General features: G+C 38.5%; 1 protein-coding gene and 1 non-coding gene across 2 annotated transcripts, besides 7 other annotated features; both read left to right on the top strand.

Annotated features, from left to right (window-relative positions):
• Positions 1,115–1,717: an enhancer, noted in NCBI's record as "NANOG-H3K27ac-H3K4me1 hESC enhancer chr7:19748389-19748991 (GRCh37/hg19 assembly coordinates)". NCBI's record gives its function as "activates a minimal SCP1, AML or CMV promoter by ChIP-STARR-seq in naive H9 embryonic stem cells {active_cell/tissue: H9 hESC(naive)}" and the evidence as "EXISTENCE:reporter gene assay evidence [ECO:0000049][PMID:30033119]".
• Positions 1,294–1,573: an enhancer, noted in NCBI's record as "active region_25684". NCBI's record gives its function as "activates an Ori minimal core promoter by ATAC-STARR-seq in GM12878 lymphoblastoid cells {active_cell/tissue: GM12878}" and the evidence as "EXISTENCE:reporter gene assay evidence [ECO:0000049][PMID:35858748]".
• POLR1F (RNA polymerase I subunit F) lies at positions 1,446–15,022 on the top strand. Its single transcript, NM_001002926.2, has 4 exons — positions 1,446–1,720; positions 5,563–5,704; positions 10,203–10,411; positions 11,756–15,022. The coding sequence occupies exons 1-4, from the start codon at positions 1,467–1,469 to the stop codon at positions 12,165–12,167; spliced, it is 1,017 nt and encodes a 338-aa protein (NP_001002926.1). The 5' UTR covers positions 1,446–1,466; the 3' UTR covers positions 12,168–15,022.
• Positions 1,684–1,753: an enhancer, noted in NCBI's record as "active region_25683". NCBI's record gives its function as "activates an Ori minimal core promoter by ATAC-STARR-seq in GM12878 lymphoblastoid cells {active_cell/tissue: GM12878}" and the evidence as "EXISTENCE:reporter gene assay evidence [ECO:0000049][PMID:35858748]".
• Positions 1,684–2,322: a biological region, named in NCBI's record as "NANOG-H3K27ac-H3K4me1 hESC enhancer GRCh37_chr7:19747784-19748388".
• Positions 1,718–2,322: an enhancer, noted in NCBI's record as "NANOG-H3K27ac-H3K4me1 hESC enhancer chr7:19747784-19748388 (GRCh37/hg19 assembly coordinates)". NCBI's record gives its function as "activates a minimal SCP1, AML or CMV promoter by ChIP-STARR-seq in naive H9 embryonic stem cells {active_cell/tissue: H9 hESC(naive)}" and the evidence as "EXISTENCE:reporter gene assay evidence [ECO:0000049][PMID:30033119]".
• MIR3146 (microRNA 3146) lies at positions 5,047–5,125 on the top strand. Its single transcript, NR_036101.1, has one exon. It is a non-coding gene; the product is annotated as a microRNA 3146 (primary transcript).
• Positions 18,002–18,502: an enhancer, noted in NCBI's record as "H3K27ac-H3K4me1 hESC enhancer chr7:19731604-19732104 (GRCh37/hg19 assembly coordinates)". NCBI's record gives its function as "activates a minimal SCP1, AML or CMV promoter by ChIP-STARR-seq in naive H9 embryonic stem cells {active_cell/tissue: H9 hESC(naive)}" and the evidence as "EXISTENCE:reporter gene assay evidence [ECO:0000049][PMID:30033119]".
• Positions 21,122–21,622: an enhancer, noted in NCBI's record as "NANOG-H3K27ac hESC enhancer chr7:19728484-19728984 (GRCh37/hg19 assembly coordinates)". NCBI's record gives its function as "activates a minimal SCP1, AML or CMV promoter by ChIP-STARR-seq in naive H9 embryonic stem cells {active_cell/tissue: H9 hESC(naive)}" and the evidence as "EXISTENCE:reporter gene assay evidence [ECO:0000049][PMID:30033119]".

The following is a 22,714-nucleotide window of genomic DNA, read 5'->3' as shown; positions in this document are numbered from 1 at the left end:
CTAAGAGGCTTTTTGCAGTATTTAGGAGATGAGGGAGTATGTTAATACTCACATCACTGCTATACATTTCTCTTGGCACTTATCCAGCATAACCTGTTATATGTTTATGTTTAGATCCCACTTCCACTTAGGCTGTGAGCTCTTTATCACTTATTATTTATTAACTCACTATCAGGTTATTCATTCAAGATGTATTGGTTGGGTTTTTCTTGGTTTCGTTTCTTTGGAGGAGGGATAAATTGTGGGGGGCTACTGTAGTGAACAATACAGATATTATGGTCCCCACTTTAGTGAGTGTAGGAATCTATTGATGGAACAGGCAAGCAAAGACAGTTAATAAAAAATTAACATAAAAACCAACATAGATGGGTAACTACCTAATCCTTATAGAGAAAGAGGAGTGGGGTGCTTGAAAACTCTTTGCAAAGGTATAGAATGTAAAATCTAAGCTAGAAATTCATACATGAGTAGAATTTACCCTTGTGAAAAATGCTATTATATTCCCTGGTGGAAGGAACAGCGTGAGACTGCACAAAGAGAGACCTGAAAGTAGATCAAGCAGCATGATAATATTAGGGTGGGGAGTGTGACAAATGAAGCTGAAGAGAGAGGCTGTGTGCCCACGCAGATCACAAAATGGCCTTGTAACTTATAAGCCATTTTCATGAGTTTGTGTTGTCCTAGAGAAAATGGGGTGCCTATGTAGGGCTTAAACAGGGCACAACACGATCATATGTATTTCAGGGAAGATCTGGCTGCCCCAGAGTGTCCTCCTGACCATTGAGCTAGGCTTCCACAGGCAGGGAGTCCTGCGGTTTTGGCGGCAGGGAAAGAGAATAGTGTCCAAATAGAATGATATTTCCACTTTGGGCAATACAGGTCTTCAGGCTGATTTGATACTTGGGGATACAAAAGAGGATCCGAGGCTGACAGCTTGGCTGTATGATTCCCTGATTTAGCAGTTGCATAATGAGAAGAGAAGCGGGACAGGAGAGAACTAGTGGGTTCGTTTTCAGATGCGTTGCATTACAATTATCAGGCCTGCTTAGGATTCCGTGTACTGCATAAAATATACTCCATAAATATTTTGATTTTTTATTGTACAGTCCAAGCCTGTAAAATTCTACCAAACCCACCTCACTACTGGAAATGATCAAAGTGAGAACCCCCATTTTTAAGCTACCTACTTAATCCAATAAGCCTCTGTGCGAAAACACACATTTGCCTGCCCTTAAAAGAGCAGTCGGTTGGCTTTCCTGCGTGCTCAATGCATTTCCGAGGCTCTAAGCTCCCGTTCTCGAAGCGCGAAAACGCGGTTCCCCCTGCTGGTCAGGGCTGCGTAATGCAGCGAAAAGAGGGGAAATTCCTAGGGGCGTGGTCGTTGGTGGATGGCGTAAAACGAGCGCCGGGGACATGGGATTGTGCTTGCGTCAACGGCGCGCGCCGTGGGAACCTTGACAAGCAGCATGGCTGCAGGTTGCTCAGAGGCGCCGCGGCCAGCGGCGGCTTCTGATGGGTCTCTGGTAGGGCAGGCTGGCGTCCTGCCTTGCCTAGAGTTGCCGACTTATGCCGCTGCTTGTGCGCTGGTGAACAGTCGCTACTCATGCCTGGTGGCCGGGCCGCACCAAAGGCACATCGCGCTGTCGCCCCGCTACCTTAACAGGAAACGCACCGGCATTCGAGAACAGCTTGATGCGGAGCTCCTTCGCTATTCTGAGAGGTACCGATCTCTTTGCCTGTTCCTTCTTTTGTGCACGGGAAGTAAAGCAGGTGGATGTGCTGACGACGCAGCAGAAAGGGGCAAATGGCAAAGGTCGCATTGCCCCCCAGAGCTTAGCCCCCTGGATTTCTAGAGTCGCGATCCGTCCCTCAAGGCCAGTACCGCTCTGGTAAAGATCTATACAGGGTCCCTTTCATAGATAGAGAAGAAAACTTAAAGATGAAGTTCAGGTGTGGGCGGAGGGAGTGGAGATTCTTGCTCCAGAACCCTGGTGTAGGGGTAGGAAAAGACCAGGGATCTGGAGACCTAGTAGGCCCAGTTCTGTTTGGCATTCAACGTTTCATTTATCCCCTTACGGATGATGCTTTCTCATTTGACGATAAAAATCTGGTTTGCAGTGCTTGAGTAGATTCTCATTCCATAGAAGATAGCATACGAAGCATTAGTACAACCGTTCTATTTGTAAAACATGAAGGACCTTTTTTGTTGTTGGATTTCGCTCTGGTAATTTCCCCATTTTCTCTTCTCTTGGACCTGATCTGGGGATTATGAAAATGCCATTAGTTTAGCGGGATTTTGTTGTTTTTAAGAAGATTTATTCAGTCGAACTAGTGAGCCTGTTGCTTTGGGGAGAGAAAAAACCAAAACGTATGCATTTATATTACGGTATTCAAAAGTGACTTGAAAACTTAGAATTACAGAGGTGTGGGGCGGGGGGCGCGGGCATGTGCTTGAGTATTCCTCTGGACTATACTTTGGTTTAAAAGCGGGGTTCTAAAACTAGAGGGAATGGATTCTCTAGGGATTCATGATTGCCCTTCAGGAATTCCTATGTGAAGTTCCTTGGGCACTGCATCGGAAGTTTTTATCAGTTTCTTAAGGGATCCTGGACCTCCACCCATGTCTAGAATCTGCAGATTCTTCCAAGCACCAATATACACTTCTTGTATGTTTATATTACATACCGAACACTTGAGATACAAAAACAAAAAATAAAATCTCTGTTTCAAGGAGCTTTAAGCTGTAGGAGAGATACAAATACAAGCCAATAAATAGTAAAGTGTTAAAATTTGACAGAAATCTAATAAGATAAGGAGTGTAGAATTTGGATCTTGGGACCTTTGAGAACAACTTGATTGAAGAGGGTACTTTAACATGGTAACATTCCAGGCAAAGAGAGTGGCATAAACAAACGGATACTGGATGTGAACTGGTATGCTTTGCCCAGAGAACTGTATCTATTATATAAGTAGAATAAGGTTTATGTCAGGGGAAAGGCATTGGATGCCATTGGAGAGGAGGGCAGGGGGTCAAAGATGACTCAGAGAGGATGGCCATTTTGCTTTTCCCTTCCTGCCATTGCCAGTTTTTGTTATTTTGGGGGTAAGGTGGGGTTGTTGTTGTTTTTCCTTTTGTGTTTCTGTTTTCTTAAGCAGGGTTAGTGCTCCGTCCTCTCAGTCCCTTTAACGCTGAGACTTGGCACACTTTTGAGAAACTAGTACTTCTCTGCAGTCCCTGGCATATCAGATTTGCAGTTTAAGAAACAACATTTACTTAATGGTTAGCTACCAAATAGGATGAGAAAGTGGACAAGGAGAGGAATTAAGATAATGTTATAATTGTCCAAGAGAAAATGATTAGAGAGGATGGATTTGAGAAATTAAAGGATATACAAAGTAGTCATAACATTTGGAAACACAAGCAACTATCTTGTTTTCTGTAACCAGTACTGCCTGCACTTGACAGGCTAGAGGGGGAAATCACGCAGAGTGGCTCTGAACAGATCTGGACACCACTCCTTCCATATTACTTGGGTATGCTGTTTATTCAAGTGCAAATCAGGCACCACACTTTGAACTATGCATTACTAATAAGGGACAAAACATTGAACATATAGTATTAAAGAACTGAAGTGAGGCTACCACCTTGCCCTGATACCTATTTAGGATGGTATCTGAAAAACAAAAGTGAAGGAGGAAAAAGTATATAGTGTTGGGTGCCTGTGTTCACATATCTGATGACTTTTAACAAAATCCCCCTTGAATTTATATACTGCTAAGTTCCTGAAAATTTTAATATATATTAAAACTGTGCAAAGATGACTTTGTGTTGATGTGTTTTAAGAGTTAAATTAGGTGCCTAGCTATTTGTAAATAGATTTGTCCTTTTATTCAAAAGTCAGAGCGAAGGACATTTCCTCATTGTATCAGACTGTCCTGTACATGACAGACTCTTTTCTTCCCTGGCTTCTGCAAAGTTTGTGATAACCATGACTAGTATCACAAATTTCCACATGTCCCCCCTTCCACCAGGGGACCACAGCCCTCCTTCCCCTTGAGAATCACTCTGATACTTGAGAGACAAGGCTTTGATTAGCGGAAATAAAGTCTTGATAATTTGTTTTTCTGTCTAGTATGGCAGTTAATTTTTCTTCCTATTCTCTGTTTTCTGTGTCCCTAACATTGTCTTAGTGATAGGATGATTCCAGCTTAGGAATGCCACATGCGGAAATTAAAACCTCAGAAAATTGCTTTCCCGAGTAAGTCTCTGAGTTAGGGTTTTCCTAATTTGGTAATTCTTAAAGTGTATTTTCTGTGGCTTCTGGCTGTTTTACTAAACAACATCTGTTAGGGATAAATTCTTTCCCTTATTTTATGTGAATTGTTAGAAGTTTGAGTTCAACAAAAAATATTCTTTGCTATCAAAGGCCTTAGAGTCATGTGTGAAATTCAAACATATATACAGATAGGTTCAATACAATTAGATTAAGAACAGTGAGAAAGTTGGCCTATAGGAGTAGAGGAATGATTTCAGCTTTGCCTGGGGGAGTCAGGGAAGTTTTCTCCAACAAGTAGTGGGTGTGGTAATGAAGCCACCAGGTTTTGTTTGTTTTGTTGTTTTTTGTTCCTTTGTTTGAGATGGAGTCTCCCTCTGTCGCTCAGGCTGGAGTGCAGTGCTGAGATCTCAGCTCACCACACCCTCCGCCTCCCACCACTAGGTCTTTCTCCTTAATAGTTATAATTCCTTAAAAGCTAAGAAATAACAGTTTGAAAAATAGTTGTCCCTTAATCATGACTGTTACATTTGTAGACTAAAGTGTCAGTCAGTTCCTAAATAATGTAGTTGTATTAACATTTGCATTTACTATCAACAGTTGAAGTTTGGGATTTTCTCTATTAAGTCATTGACTTTAAAATTCAGGGGCTTCAGCTTTAACCGTAATGCTTCCCTTGTTATACGCCGTCAAGTACTGAAATTCAGTAATGGTGAATAATACCAAAATTGCCTCTTATTCAGTCATGTCCACAGAGATACACATTTTCTTTGCTAAGTCCCTTCTTTCTATCCTAGTATAACTTGAAGAATTCAAATAGTCATGCTAGGATAGAAAGAATGGGACTTGGCCAGGGAAGAAGAGTTGATTTACTGCTAATGCATTAATTGGGCATTTTGTTTCTGTGTATCTTGAGTCATCATTTTAACTTAGCCAACACATCAGAATCCATTGGTGAAATGGGACTACTAAAGTTGTTACAGACTAATCATATACTATTGTTTTTGACATAGGTGGTGTATTTAGGAGATGTGTAAGTTTTGGATAGAATATCTAATCAGTATGAAAATGGCCTGGTTTGAAAGAGTGCAGTGGTGCACACCTATAATCTCAGCACTTTGGGAGGCTGAGGCAGAAGGATCAATTGAGCCCAGGAGGTCGAGGCTGCAGTGAGCCCTGTTGATGTCACTGCACCCTATCCTGGGTGACAGAGCAAGACCCTGTCTCCAAAAACATAAATAAATAAAAGACGATAAAAGGTATCATTTTCAACTTTTTCTTTTTACAGCCTTTTAGGTGTCCCTATTGCATATGATAACATCAAAGTTGTGGGAGAGCTTGGAGATATTTATGATGATCAAGGACACATTCATCTTAACATTGAAGCCGATTTTGTTATTTTCTGCCCTGAACCAGGGCAGAAGCTTATGGTATGTGTATCACTTTTTTCTAGCTCCCTTTGTATAATTCTATAATTATGTAACTTGGAACATTTTAAGAGATAATATATACCTTGGGACTCAAATAAATTGCTATTGTGAGTAAATAAATATTATTTTTAAGGAAAAATTAATTTGTATCATTCAAACGTAGGTAAGTTTTTGAATATCCTCCTAAAACACATACATGCACACGATATATGTCCCATCCACTTTATTCTTTTCATAGTAGCAGAATGATTTTAAGGGCAAAAAAATCAATTATCATTATTATTTCAAAAGTTCTCAATTCTACACAAATACTATTTCTTTATAAAGGATTCAAAGAATATAGCAGTATATGAAACAGGAATTCAAATGGGCCAGGCAGTAATGAAAATTTATCAATGACAGAGGACAGGGCAGCCAGTCTGTGCCTTGGAAATGGAAGCTCTGTGGGAAAGGTCTTCCAGTTTTTCATAAGCTGGAAATGCAGATATTGATACAAAATCTGCTGAAATAGATCCTTTTTTACTCTTTACTTTCTCCTCTCTTCCTCCAGCAGTTCTCTGTGTGTATACACATGTTCGTATGTATACTTGTATGTGTGTGTATATGTTCTTTTCCTTAGCTGATAAATATTTTAATAGATCAGAACTGTTAACCCTTGATATTGTTCATAAAAATATAGATCAATTTAACCATGACAAAACCCACAAGACACTTCCAATTTTTTTCATTTTTCAATATCAAATTAATACAAGTAGTATCCTTTGCCTGTTAAACTGGGATCTTATAACTGGACTACTAAAGTTGGCAGTAGATTTGTATTTGGAAATTAACAAACTTAACTTTCATCTACTTTGTGTAAATTATTATTTTAAATATAAACATGTAGGCCAGCCACAGTGGCTCACACCTACAATCACAGCATTTTGGGAAGCTGAGGCAGGAGGATCACTTGAGGCCAGGAGTTTAAGACCAACGTGGGCAACATAGTGAGACCTCATCTCTACACAAAATAAAAAATTAGCCAGTCATGGTGGCATGCATCTGTAGTCCCAGTTACTCAGGAGGCTGGGGTAGGAGGATCACCTGAGCCCAGGGGTTCAAGGCTGCAGTGAGCTATGATTGCGCCAATGCATTCCAGCCTAGGCAACAGTGAGACCCTGTCTGTAAAAATACACACACACATACACGGAAATAACATATATACATGTACATGGAAATAACAGATTGTAGAAAAAGTATGAAATGAAAAATATCCCTTTTAATCTACCTACTACAAGATCCACTCCTCAAATATTTTTGACCACCCACTTTTCCTTCAATTATTATTATTAATATTTGGTGAGATAAAATTTACATATAATAAAATGCACAGATCATATTGTTCAGTTCAGTGAATTTCGTCAGGTCTGTATACCATTCCATCTCCTTAGAAAGGATCTTCATGCCCTTTCCTGGCCCAATTCCTTCTCTTTATTGCAGATATAATTACTCTTCTGATTTTATCATAAGTTGGTTTTGCTTATTCTATAGTTCCATATTAATGGAATTATTCATTATACATTCTTAAAATCTGCCGCCTTTTGATCAGCATGTTTTTGAGTTTCATCCATGCTGTTGTGTGTATTGGTAGTTTGTTCCTTTTTATTGCTCATGGTATTCAGTTATATGACTATATCACAATATAATTATCTGTCTTCATTGATGGATTGATTCCAGGCTGGGGCTTTTATGAATAAAGCTATTGAAAACATATATTTTCAGACATATGAATGAAAACATACATTTTCATTTCTCTTAAGTAAATAACTAGAAGCAGAAGAGCTAGTTCACAGGGTATTTATATAAAACCATTGTCAGACTGATTTCCCATTCAACACTTCATTTACTCTGTATCGTTATTAACATTTGCTATTGTCCTTTAATTGTACTGATGGGCATATAGTAGTATCTCATTATGGTTTTAATTTGCATTTCCGTTTCCCTCATAAGCAATTTTTCATATATTTCAGTAAGAAGGGCCTGTTCAAGTATTTTGCCCATTTTTAATTGGGTTTTTGTATTTTTATTATTGACTTATAGCAGTTCTTTTTAGTCTTAAAATGAATTCTTTTCAGATAAGTATTTTGAATATTTTCTTCCAATCTGTGACTTGTCTGTTAACTTGTAATGGTATTATTTGATGAACAGTTACTTTTAATTTTGATGAGGTCCAATTTATCATTTTATATGTTTATGACTATTGCTTTCTGGACCCTATCAAAGAAATTTGTCTGCCGAAAAGTTGTGCAGATACTGTTCTGTCGACTTCTACAAGCTTTTAGTTTTAGCTTTTCCATTTAAGTCTGTGATCATTCTCAAATAATTTTTGTGTGTAGTGTGAGGTAGGCCTTGAGATCCACTCTCTCCTTCATGTAGCTTTCCCGTTGTTCTGGATTCATATATTAAAAAACCTTTTCTTTCATTGATTTTCTGAAATTGACATATTTTTAACAGCAGTTTTAGGTTTACAGAAAAATTGAATGGAGAGTATAGAGTTCCCATATAACCACCCCCTTTCCCCTATTATCAACATTAACTTGCATTAGTATGGTGCATTTGTTACCATTTTTGTGCCAATATTGATACATTATTATCAAGTAAAGTCTGTAGTTTACATTAGAGTTCAGTCTTTGTGTTGTACATTCTATGAGTTTCCACAAATGTGTCATGGCATTTATTGAGGTATTGCTCCTCACAAGAGGGCATTAGCTGCGGGGGTCTGCCTGCAGACCTTGACCTAAAAGATGGATGAATGAAACGTACACTGACACACAGATATTGCTTTGCCAGTACTGCTGAGTGTCCGACTGCCTACACACCGAGAGAGGTTTGTCACTGCCGCTGGCCCTGAGTAGTTCACACTCCAGGCATTTATTTCGTATACAATTAACAACAGAAGCTCTGAGTCCACACACTTTTGGATAATTAACATGGTTAAGTGAGTAGTTCTATGAATGATTAAAGCTCAGGTACCGAGGTTTAAAGTAAATATCACTGGGGGCAATATCCCTGCCCCCCCAGAGGCCATCTGACTTAAAGGTTAGTTAACAGAGGTAGGGTAAACAGACTTAACTGGGGAAGCCTCTATTGTCCCTAGTATTTACTCTGTAACTTAATGCTCTAAGGTAAGAACCGGCTGTCTTCGGCCTGTTCAGCTATTACAAGCTATGTAACCTTTTGGCCTTCCAAAAAGGTTTGTGACTATTCCCTATAACTTTCCCTAATATTTCCCTTTAATATTTCTGCCACTATCCTGAGTGAATCCCAACAACTTATCTTCCATTATAGTATGATACGGAATAGTTATCCTCTCCTAAAAACCGCTTGTGCTCCACCTATTCATTTCTCCCTTCTTCCCTCCGTTCCCTGTAATCCCTGGCAACCACTGATCTTTTTACTGTTTCCGTAGTTTTGCCTTTTTAAAGAAGAAGAATAGAGTATGTATCCTTTTCAAATTGACTTCTTTCACTTAGCAATATGCATTTAAGGTTTCGCTATGTCTTTTTATGGTGAGAACTTATTTATCTTTATTACTGAATAATCTTTTATTTTATAGCTGTACCAGTTTGTTTATCTAGACCATCTGGAAACTACCAGTGGGAACACTAGACTTCTGATCATACCAGATAGGGAAGTTTTATTCTGTCACATGTGTAAAGGGTTGCTGATGTTAAACAGCATTGTATACACATCGGCATTATTTGCAGTTTCATAATTCAGAAAATGTGAATTTTTAATATTTCTGAGTCTCATTTATATGCTTTGTATATATTGACCCTGAGAAGAAAAATAAGTTTTATGCAAAGTCTCATCTTAAAATCATATAGCACATACTTTTGTTTTAGTTTTAAAGCTTCTAATAATACTTTCGTGATTTAGCCAAAAAATAGTCATGGTCAATATTTACATTTAAAGGGTAAGCTGTCTTCTAATGGAATGCTTGCATCATGCTAAATTAAATAATTAAAGAATGCATTTTTAAGCTTTGAAATTTGGTCTATTTACAGAAACGTAACATGGATCCCAGTTATAAAACGCATATGAGGTCTTTTTAGAAGTTATATGGGGTTTGCTTGGTTTCAATGTAGCTAAAGAGTAATACTGTCCTCCCTAAGGAATCCTGCAGTGGGGAGTTGAGATGGTTTTTTTTCTTGGACAGGGTGGCGGGGGCAGGTTAGTTTATCCAGTTAGAAAGTTAATGTGCCCAGTTAGACAGTTAATGTGCAATTACTTATATAATAAAGTTTGAGCTTTCTCAAAACCCAGTGGTATTCTAAAGTGATGTTTTGGCATGACATGTGGTAAGTTTTAATTGAGGTAAACTTTTTCCATATTAAATTAGACCATTAATTTGATGTTTGTTCTTTGAAGATTATTTGAAGCTTGTAAAGTTTGGTTCACCTTTTAACTTTGTGGATGTGTTCTTTATGTTACGCTCTTTCTTCCTTCTTCTTCCCAGGGTATAGTTAATAAAGTGTCTTCTAGCCACATTGGCTGTTTAGTACATGGGTGTTTCAATGCCTCCATTCCTAAACCTGAGCAGTTGTCAGCTGAGCAGTGGCAAACCATGGAGATAAACATGGGTGATGAACTAGAATTTGAAGTATTTCGTTTAGACTCAGATGCTGCTGGAGTATTCTGCATTCGGGGAAAACTAAATATCACAAGGTTAGTTTATCATTACGTAATTATCACTAGGTACTTAATTTCTATTTAATTCTGAATTTTAAAGAGAATTTTATTTTAATTTTAAAGAGAATAAGCCTCTCTAAAAATACCTGTTTATAGGAATATTCATGCTTTCAAACCATAAAGTCAATATAAACAATACTCTTAAGTAATCTGTAACAGTGCATCAAATAAATATTCTGAAACACAGACTAGCTAACTGGTCTGTATTTTAATATTTAATAGTTCAATTTTGCTGAGTATTTTCTATTTTGTTGTTAACTTTTTTTTTAAAGTTGACCTCTAAACTTGAAACTACTGAAAGCACAATTACCTTCCTAACTATTGGCCTGCTTTGTTTTTACACACAAAAAATTGTGTTGATTATTGTCTTCTGTGCCAGATATTTTAATTTCTGTATTATTCTGTATAGAAATTATTATAAGAATTAACTCTGATCTTGAGCTTGATTCCATGGGAGCCAAGTTTAAAGGAAGAAGGAGAGAGACAACTCTTAAAATGCTGCTATTGCTAATAATTTTTTCTGTATTTTGCCTTAAAGTTACAAGAGTATGGGTTGAAGTTCTGGAACAGCTGTTCAATTTCTGTAATGACAGAAATACAGTTTATATACATAGTACAGCAGCCTCACTATTGAGCATTGAAATATGACTAAGTCTGACTGAGGAACTGAATTTCTAAAGTTATGTTTTTGGTAGTGATTAGGTACATGTGCCTAGTGCTACTGTATAAGACTGAAGTTCTGGAGAGAAAGCTACTTCATCGATCCATGTTTTATTTTAGTGGTGTAAAATAATTCACAATGTTAAAGTAATACTATCTTAGTATCAGCTAAGTAGAACAATGGACTATTATTTGAAACAAGATTAAAATAGTAGACTGGAAACTCCATTGCTTTGATAAATACCAGATCATATTTTCTATTAGATGTCAGTGGTTTGGTTAATAAGCCTAGGTATTGTGGTGTTTAATGTTCAGTGACCAAATTTTTCTGAAACAACCCAAAACTTGGAAGACATGTTTTGACAAGATTTTTATGTCATTTTTATGTGTGGAAACAGTCTGGGAGAAGTTATTCATAAAGAAAGAATTTAACATTTAATGTTAAATTTAACATTTTTCAATTTAACATTCAGCAGCCCATACATATTTTAGTGGGTTGAGGGATAACAGGATAGAATATTTGGAATTTATGCCATGGTTATGTGTCTTGTACTGGAGTCATTATTTAGAAAATCTTAGCCTGTTGGGATATCTTGATCTCAATTTGTTCTTTGTTTTTTGCTTATTGTTCTGTTAATTTTTTTAACTGTTAATTTATAGTTTACAATTCAAGCGCTCTGAAGTTTCTGAAGAAGTTACAGAAAATGGCACTGAGGAAGCTGCTAAAAAACCTAAAAAGAAGAAAAAGAAGAAAGACCCAGAGACATATGAAGTGGACAGTGGTACCACAAAGCTAGCAGATGATGCAGATGACACTCCAATGGAAGAGTCAGCCCTGCAGAATACTAATAATGCGAATGGCATCTGGGAGGAGGAGCCAAAGAAAAAGAAGAAGAAGAAAAAGCACCAGGAAGTTCAGGACCAGGACCCTGTTTTCCAAGGCAGTGACTCCAGTGGTTACCAAAGTGACCATAAAAAGAAAAAAAAGAAAAGAAAACACAGTGAAGAGGCCGAATTTACCCCACCTTTGAAATGCTCACCAAAAAGAAAAGGGAAAAGTAATTTTCTTTAGTGTATTTTAAACACGATTCAGTTTTTAAAAGATCGATCTACATACAATAGATGAATAAATGTTTTCAGTGATATGAAAAGGTTAAGTATGCCAGTAGTTTACAAAACAGAAAATACTTAACTAGGAGTAGGAGGCTTTATATGCTAAAAATGATAAAACTGACTGTAAATTAATTTGGGGAAAGCCAGTATTGTTAAAATACCATTTTATACAAAATAAAAAGCTGCTCTCACTGTCAGCTCTCATATTCTTCCAGGTTTTGCACTCTACATAAAATTATTTCTACAATGTCAAGACTAGCCAAAGGACTTTATAATACAATATTATATTACTAAAGAATGAGTTAAGTTTGAGATTTTGATGATTTGATTTTGTGTGTGTTTAATAGGCTTCACCTTATTACATGCTATTTTATTTTGCTTTTTTAAAAACTCAGGACATTAACTAATTTTAGGTTTTCCTTTATCATGGCTTTCTACAGTATTTCTATTGTTTAACATAAAATAGTTTGCCAAAGAAGTTTCTGAAGTCTTCACAGCTCTTAAAAGCCAGGCCAGTACTGACTGTGTGGTGGTAAATGCTATTCATTATTTTCTTTTCTTTCTTCCAAGTGCATGTGTGTCCTTGTCTTCTTAAGTCTGAGAGGTTGCTGGAAAGGACTGTTTTCTTGTACTTGTTCATTTGTGCCTCAGCCATTCTAGTTTTGTTGTGTGTTGGAGGACAGTCTAATGAAGACAGGATAAATGTGATTCTGACTAGTGGGAAATTTCAGATTACTTTTTAATGATTGGAATGGGCTATAAGATATTGTGCTGAAGAGAAAACAGTTGTTCTGTTCACTGCTTTCATTGAGAAAATGTGGAATGTCTCTTGACTAATTGACAAAGTGTAATGAAATGACAAGCTGGTTGAAGCTGGTAATCAATGCATGGCCATATTTATTCATTTTCCACACACTTGACCATCTACTTTGTATAACACATTCTGCTAAGGCCCAGGGATACAATGGCAAACAAGATAGATGTAGTTCCTTCCCTTGTGGCATGTCATAAGAGAAACAGATGTGCATATACACACAATAAATAAGAAAATTAATAATTGTATTAAGTGGTATGAAAAAAAGGGGGAGGATTGTTCACTCACTGTTACCTGTGTTAGTATCTGCAAATGCATGAATGGTTGAACTCCCATGTCAGCATTTTTGTTGCCATTTATTTAGTACCAGACATAGTGCTGGTCTCACAGCTTAATATTTGGTAATGAATAAATTCTGCTAGTGGTATATGTTGATCTGAACTTACAATGATGGGATATAGAATTGGCAGAGTGGCAGATGTTCACAATTGTCTACAAGTAGATGTGCTAGACAATGGAAGGATGCAGGCCAACCTCTTTGATTACAATTGAGATTCATGTGACTATTGAGCCCTGGAAATGTAGCTTGTCCAAATTGAGATGTGCTGTCAGTATAAAATACATACCAGATTTTAAAGATGTACCAAAAAATGTAAACTATCTCAATTTTTATATTGGTGAAATCAATATGTCTTGGTATAGTGGCTTAAATAAAACAATTTTAGCCTTTCTCAGTTTATTTTTCTGCAAAAAGATTAAAAATTGTACATGAAGCTCATGTTAACTTTCTTTTGGTCAGTGCTATTTTAAAGGAAGTATGAGTTGAAAAAAAATTGAAATAAACTATATCATATTACTAGGACTTAATATAGTGGCATACCCAGGAAATGCTTAGTAAGTGTTCCCTTCACATTTTAAAATTTGAGTATACAATCATGTTTGACAATATAGAAATTTAATTTTTAGTGAAACAATTCTAAACCCCTTTTCCATAGACACAAGAAAGATGGCAAATTTATGCTATTCCTGGAAAAATACATTGTGGCTTAGCAAATAAGCAAGTTCCCACGTTACTTTTGTTTTGCTTCAAGTAATACTTCTGCCAGTTGTGTTTTATGAATTAAACAGGGAACGGCATGCTGAACTTGAAACTAGATTTGTTCCTGCTTTTTTCACAATGTGAGTAGTTTTGAAAAGTCAGATCTGGCCATTTGTCTTTCCTAGAATAGCATAACTTTGTTCATTGTTTTTTTTGTTTGTCTTTCTGACACAGAAAGACTGATGATGGTGTCCACTATGTATTCTTCAAAACATTTGGCACATGCTGCACTAACCTAGTCTATCTTTTCTATCTTGGAATTTGCTCATACAAACCCTATAGCCTAGACTAGATCCCTTACCCTCTCTCCAGTTCCTATCATTCACCCATTTCACTGTGCAAGACACCTCACTAGTCACCAGTGATACAGAAATGACTTTTAAGCAGTTTCTGCTCTTAAGGGCTTACCGTTTTGTCTATAAGATACACAAGTATAAATGACAAGTACAAATAACAATGAATGTTTAATGCTTTACGTTTAGTGTTTAAGCTTGTTGTTGGAAGAGCAGCATTTTGACCCTTGGAGAAGAAAAACTAGCTGTGGCATTCCAGGTGGAGAACCTGACAGAGGACTAAGAAGTTATCTAATGTAAAAGACCTCAGGCACCACCTTCGCATAAACTTTTTCCAGACAAGGCTAAATGTGCATGCTTCATAACCATAATTCTTATTTTTCTTTAATAAATATTTTTCTACTTGTAACACTGTGCATTATTTCAAACTGTTTACCTGTTTGTAAAGCTTGTCTCTTAATCAAATTTGTCTTGACCAAATAAGTTTCCTGAGGGCTGGAATTATGCCTTAACTATATCTATAGTATTTAACAGTGAATCCTTTGTATAATGAAAGCATCAACAGATAATTTTAAATTGATAAATAAAAAGCACAGTTTCAAATGGTATCACTTGGCCTCTGATGTGATATTATTATTTTCACTTGTTTCAATAAATGCATCTTTTTTTTTTTTTTTGGCCTATATGTAATGTGGTTTTTAAGCACTTTTATCACTTTAGTGTGTCAGGGATAGAATACTTAAAAATGACAGAAATTTGATCTCTTTTAATTTGTTTTATACATTCACCACATGGGTCATCTTTGCCTTTTTTTCTCAAAAAGTAGATATTTTGTTACAAAATCAATATATATTTGTTTAAAAATTCATATAGTAAAAGTATATACATCTTCCCACTCTACCAGTCATTGATCTCCCTCCCTATTCCTCCCCACACCACACACACCCACTTGGCAATTCTGCTTCCAGAAATAACCACTATTGTCAATTCCATGTGTAGTTTTAGAGATTTTTAAGTAGTGAATTTTAAAATGTTTTAAGACATGGAATCAAACTACCTGCACTTTTTGGGTCTACTCTATTTTATAGTAAATGTCTTCCCATATGAATATATAGAGGTCTTCCTATTTTTAATGTTTGCAGAATTTCAGTGTATAATTTATTTCATTTCCCAAGGATAGATATTTAGGTTTGTATTTTCCCTCTTAAAAGGGTATTGTTAACATTTCTAAAAGCTTTCATTGTTAGTTTAATTGCTTATTTCCAGCTGTATTGTACATTGTGACTTCCAAAGGTAAGCTCTGATTCCTACCTTTAGAAATGGAGGTATTTCAGGGGGCCAGTACATAGTTCAGTTTTAAAAAATATTCTTAAAAAATATTCTTTAGGCACTTGAAATGAATAGTTATTTTTTAAGTAGAAAAACACTTTTAAAATAGATTTTATATATCATACAGTGAGAACAAAATTGAAAAATAATGGATAATTCTGCACATTATGTGACTTTTTGTGGTATTTTTCCTGGACAATTCATGGAAAAGTTCAACCCATCTTCAACTCAGAATATCACTGGCTCTCCTTACTAAACATAAAGATCTTCAGATGTTTGGTCTAAACTCTTTTCTCATCCAAATCTCCGCTTTGGCAGTAGGAACTAACTTCATGGCATCATTTTGTCTTCTACTTCTTTGAAATAAATATTTGGTACACTGAATCACCTTAAAGCCCAGTTGTTTTATCTGAATGCTAGACTTGTTCCTACTTACTCACATTGATTTGATAACTCGTCCTGAATATGTTTGAAAATTTTTAGTAAGACAAAAATTTAGTAAGTTATAAAATTGGAGTAAATAGGGGGGAAAGGCAGAATCAACAAACCTAAGTCTACAACCAGGATTTCAATAGCAAATAAGCTGCAGTCTGTATAGTTGTAGGTAATTAGTTCCACATTCATTGGCTATAATTAGAAAATGCTCCGGCACTTATTGAGTCACAGAAAAACAAGGACACATGAAATACCTCGTCCATTCTTAGTAAACAGCTGGAAATAGAAGCTAAAAGCCGTCAAAGAGGACCATAATTTAGCATTTAAAAGTAGAATGCATTAGTAATTAAAATGACCTACAAATTTATGAGATTATGGACAAGAAAGAGCTAAATACAATGTATCTAATACAGGAGAGAAGTTCCTGCTAATTCTGCATCCCACCATAACTTGTTACAGTCTAATATCTCAAATTTGGTTGCCTATAGACAAGATCACCAGTTGCAGAAGATTCTTATAGGCATCAAATATACCATATTTTGTGTGTAATTATGCCTATGTGCAAGGGAGCCTGAAAGAATACCAACTCTCTGAAATGAATGATTAAACAAAAATATTTAAGTGCCTAGTGTTCTAAGATATTCACACCCAATTTTTATTTCTTACTTTTAAAATTTACATGGTAAATGACAGTGATTTAACCCCATTGGGTGGAGTTTTTATAAACAATTTTATTGACCTCTCTAAGCTGTGTTTCTTTACCTATAAAATGAGAACACTGAATTGGAAACCAGATTATCTAAAAGTTCCTTTCACTTAGAGAATCCTGAGTATCATTGATACTGCTATCTATTGAAGGAAAGAACTGTGAAGAGTCTAAGATTTCATCCAATTTGCAAACTAATAAGTTACTCTGCCACAGCTTCATGGATGCTAGCTTAAGACAAAAGACTCCTAAATCAGAGACAAAAGGACTTTAATTATTACTCACTGCACCTCAATAAGCTCCATGTTTGTACCAGCCAGTTCCCATTTGCACCCCAAGTCCTATAGGAACAATGCAGAGTCGTAGGGAGCTACTGTGCATGAAAGGAGTTTGTGTCACAGCTGAGAAACTCCATGCTTAGGGAACTCCAGTGATTTATATAAAATGGATTGCAATCATTTTATATAAATATAAAATGCCCAATCTTTGCCCCAGAGGAAGATATCTTTATTACACTGGAAAATAAACAAATCTTTTTGTTTACTTCTGTATGTTGTCTTCTGCTCTAGAAGGGGCACTGTTTTTATTTCCCAAGGCTTTAACTATCTAAACATTCTTGAAAAGTTAGTCTGGAACAAAATCTGTAAGTACCTCTGTTCACAAGGTTTGCAGAAATTCAAGAGACTTGTGCAATATTGTCTCAGCATCACCTCACCCAAAGGATAAAGTCAGTTAACGTCATTTAAGTAACGCATACGTATACTAAATATCACTACAGATTGTTATAATTTATGCAAATGTACATAATGATATTTTCATATTGAGAGGTGACAACGTGCTAGCAGCCCCCGCTCGCTCTCGGCCTCCAAGTCCACTCTGGCCGCGCTTGAGGAGCCCTTCAGCCCACTGCTGCACTGTGGGAGCCCCTCTCTGGACTGGCTGAGGCCGGAGCCGGCTCCCTCTGCTTGCAGGGAGGTGTGGAGGGAGAGGCACAGGAGGGAACTGGGGCTGTGCTAGCACGAGTTCTGGGTGGGCATGGGCTCGGTGGTCTCTGCACTCGGAGCAGCCAGCCGGTGCCCCCGGCCCAGGGCAGTGAGGGGCTTAGCACCTGGGCCAGCAGCTGTGGAGGGTGCACCGGGTCCCCCAACAGTGCCGGTCTGCCCACACCACGTTCGATTTCTCACCAGGCCTCAGCTGCCTACCCACGGGGCAGGGCTCAGGACCTGCAGCCTGCCATGCCTGAGCCTCCCCCACACTGTGGGCTCCCACTCAGGCCAAGCCTCCCCAACGGGCAACACCCCCTGCTCCGCGGCCCCTGGTCCCATCGACCACCCAAGGGCTGAGGAGTGTGGGTGTGCGGTGCGGGACTGGCAGGCAGCTCTGCCCGCGGCCCCTGTGTGGGATCCACTAGGTGAAGCCAGCTGAGCTCCTGAGTCAGGTGGGGACTTGGAGAACTTTTATGTCTAGCTGGAGGATTGTAAATGCACCAATCAGCACTCTGTGTCTAGCTCGGGGTTCATGGATGCACCAGTCAGCACTCTGTATCTAGCTAATCTGGTGGGGACTTAGAGAACTTTCATGTCTGGCTAGAGGATTGTAAATGCACCAATCAGCACTCTGTGTCTAGCTCAGGGATTGTAAACACACCAATCAGCACCTTGTCAAAACAGACCAATCAGCTCTCTGTGAAACGGACCAATCAGCTCTATGTAAAATGGACCAATCAGCAGGACGTGGGTGGGGCCAGATAAGGGAATAAAAGCAGGCTGCCTGAGCCAGCAGCGACAACGTGCTGGGGTCCCCTGCCACACAGTGGAAGTTTTGTTTGTTCACGCTTCACAATAACTCTTGCTGCTGCTCATTCTTTGGGTCTGCCCTGCCTTTATGAGCTGTAATACTCACAGCGAAGGTCTGCAGCTTCACTCCTGAAGCCAGGGAGACCACAAACCCACCAGGAGCGACGAACAACTCTGGACAGGAGGAACAAATGACTCCAGACTGTAACACTCCCTACAAAGATCTGCAGCTTCACTCCTGAAGACAGTGAGACCATGAACCCACTAGAAGGAAGAAACTCCAGACACATCTGAACAGAAGGAACAAACTCCGGACACACCATCTTTAAGAACTGTGACACTCACCGCGAAGGTGTGCGGCTTCATTCTTGAAGTCAGCGAGACCAAGAACCCAGCAATTCCAGATGCAATATATAATTATGAAAACCATTATTTCAACTTTAATATCAAACTATTAATGCTTTTTCAGTTTTGAGTTTCTTATTAGAAAACTATCTTCAAGTTACTTATTGTTTATGTATTTTTTCTTTTAAAACATATGTTCATTGTAAAATACACTATTAACATCTTGTTATACTACACACACGTACATACAATTTGTATGTATATACAGTCACATACTAGTGGATATCTGCTAATTTTTTTGTCTAAAAAATTGGGTATGAATAGCTTAGAACACTAGGTAGTGAAATATTTTTGTTTAATCATTCATTTCAGAGAGTATTCTGTCAGGATCTCTCACACATGTGCATAAATACACACAAAATATGGTGTATTTGATGCCTATAAGAATCTCTCTTAGAATCCATCTCTCCTCTACTACATGGATTCACATGGGAAGGTACAATTATGGGATCCAGTCTTGGGTCCACTTGTGACCTCAATTCGTGAGTCATATGTCCTAAAATAACCAAGTGATTAAACAAATGTCAGGGTGAGTTTTTAGAATAATTTTGATCCTGCAGGAAAGAAGGTTTTATTGTCTCTTGGACCATGTGACAGCCATGAGAATGCACCTCACAGACCTTCAAAGTGGAGCTTAATTGGCTATGAGCTCTAGCTGCTGTGCTCTGAAATCCATCACCACATCTGCATCAAAGCCATGCTTCTTACTGCCGCTCCCAGCCAATGCTGGCTTGCAGCACAGATATGAAGGCAGACCCATTTCTGGGACATACAGGACTCATAGTAGCCAACTTTGGCTTGACTCCCTGATGGTCCTGCCTGGAATCTTCTGTAAATTACATAGCAGCCTATAATGCTTCCACCTTTCTTTTCCTTTCTATTTCCTTCCGGGTCAAACTTACACTGTGTTCTGACAGCTTACCCTGTCTGTCCCAGTGCCTTTCCCATTTTCTCCCACAAGCATTTTCTCTAATAAAATCCTTGCATGTTTAATCACATTTAGGTGTCTGCTTTTCAGAGGACCTAACATACATCACTGGCTCTTAGTAGGATCTAGAGGTTCTGGTGACTATTTTGGCTGTCAGGTTTTCCCAACATGGAAACACAGAGGACAATAGAGGCAGAGAGATGAAGTCAATGGATAATATTTGTTGAATTCCTACAGTCAGAGAACCTGAAGCCAGAACCATCTTCTTGGACTTCCATAGTACAAAAACCATGACATCCCCTTCCTCTTCTTTTTCCTGTCTCTTCTCCTCCATGAGAGCAGGAACTCTGCCCATCTCCCTTTGTGAGAGTAGGATCAGAATTGGTCCAGATTGCCTCTGAATAATACCAGTGCTGGTACAGTGCTGGTAACATAGTAGATACTCCATACATATTTGTTGAGTAAATAAAATTTAAGAACATTCTAATTCTCCTTGTAACTTCTAACCACTTTAAGGCTGAATTATTACAGAAATACAAAGGATGTCCATGGAAACAAGTATACTTCCTTAGTCCCAGGAATCCAATGGGCAGAACCTTTGTTATGTTCCCCTTCAAATGCAGGCAGAAGGTCTGCACAATCCACCCTTGGAAGAGAGGAGAACTTCTCAAATCTATTTTAAATAAGAAAAGCTCTAATTTTGCTCACTTTCAAGCTACATGTCAATTATATACAACTCTATTTTTTGTTCTGTTTTGTTTTGCTTTTTTTTTTTTTAGAGCCACATTCTCTTCTTGTTCCATTCAATTAGCATTTCCAACTGGATAGGCACTGTTGGAGCAAACAAGAATCTCCCACAAAAAAATTTATCTTCTCCTAATACAACATTTTAATTTAGAATTATTTGTTCCCAAACAAATAAAACCTACCAGAATTTACTAAAGCTAAAAACCAAACTAATGAACTAACAAAAAGCAGCATGAGAATTGCTATGAAAATTCAAGGTGCCATAGGAATTCTGGGACCAGCATGCAGCTAGACCTCACTGCGCTTTTCCAATGGGCTTAAAAAATGGCGCACCATGAGATTATATCCCGCACGTGGCTCAGAGGGTCCTACGCCCACGGAGTCTCGCTGATTGCTAGCACAGCTGTCTGAGATCAAACTGCAAGGCGGCAGCGAGGCTGGGGGAGGGGCGCCCGCCATTGCCCAGACTTGATTAGGTAAACAAAGCAGCCAGGAAGGTCGAACTGGGTGGAGCCCACCACAGCTCAAGGAGGCCTGCCTACCTCTGTAGGCTCCACCTCTGGGGGCAGGGCACAGACAAACAAAAAGACAGTAGTAACCTCTGCAGACTTAAATGTCCCTGTCTGACAGCTTTGAAGAGAGCAGTGGTTCTCCCAGCACGCAGCTGGAGATCTGAGAATGGGCAGACTGCCTCCTCAAGTGGGTCCCTGACCCCTGACCCCCGAGCAGCCTAACTGGGAGGCACCCCCCAGCAGGGGCACACTGACACCTCAAATGGCAGAGTACTCCAACATACCTGCAGCTGAGGGTCCTCTCTGCTAGAAGGAAAACTAACAAACAGAAAGGACATCCACACCAAAAACCCATCTGTACATCACCATCATCAAAGACCAAAAGTAGATAAAACCACAAAGATGGGGGAAAAACAGAACAGAAAAACTGGAAACTCTAAAAAGCAGAGCGCCTCTCCTCCTCCAAAGGAACGCAGTTCCTCACCAGCAACGGAACAAAGCTGGATGGAGAATGACTTTGACGAGCTGAGAGAAGAAGGCTTCAGACGATCAAATTACTCTGAGCTACGGGAGGACATTCAAACCAAAGGCAAAGAAGTTGAAATCTTTGAAAAAAATTTAGAAGAATGTATAACTAGAATAACCAATACAGAGAAGTGCTTAAAGGAGCTGATGGAGCTGAAAACCAAGGCTCAAGAACTACGTGAAGAATGCAGAAGCCTCAGGAGCCGATGCGATCAACTAGAAGAAAGGGTATCAGCGATGGAAGATGAAATGAATGAAATGAAGCGAGAAGGGAAGTTTAGAGAAAAAAGAATAAAAAGAAATGAGCAAAGCCTCCAAGAAGTATGGGACTATGTGAAAAGACCAAATCTACGTCTCATTGGTGTACCTGAAAGTGATGGGGAGAATGGAACCAAGTTGGAAAACACTCTGCAGGATATTATCCAGGAGAACTTCCCCCATCTAGCAAGGCAGGCCAACGTTCAGATTCAGGAAATACAGAGAACGCCACAAAGATACTCCTCGAGAAGAGCAACTCCAAGACACATAATTGTCAGATTCACCAAAGTTGAAATGAAGGAAAAAATGTAAAGGGCAGCCAGAGAGAAAGGTCGGGTTACCCTCAAAGGGAAGCGCATCAGACTAAACAGCAGATCTCTCGGCAGAAACCCTACAAGCCAGAAGAGAGTGGGGGCCAATATTCAACATTCTTAAAGAAAAGAATTTTCAACCCAGAATTTCATATCCAGCCAAACTAAGCTTCATAAGCGAAGGAGAAATAAAATACTTTAAAGACAAGCAAATGCTGAGAGATTTTGTCACCACCAGGCCTGCCTTACAAGAGCTCCTGAAGGAAGCACTAAACATGGAAAGGAACAACTGGTACCAGCCGCGCAAAATCATGCCAAAATGTAAAGACCATCGAGGCTAGGAAGAAA

Source organism: Homo sapiens, chromosome 7 (assembly GCF_000001405.40).
Source record: "Homo sapiens chromosome 7, GRCh38.p14 Primary Assembly".
In the NCBI taxonomy this organism is placed as follows: Eukaryota; Metazoa; Chordata; class Mammalia; order Primates; family Hominidae; genus Homo; species Homo sapiens.
This window is presented reverse-complemented; position numbering and strand designations above follow the sequence as displayed.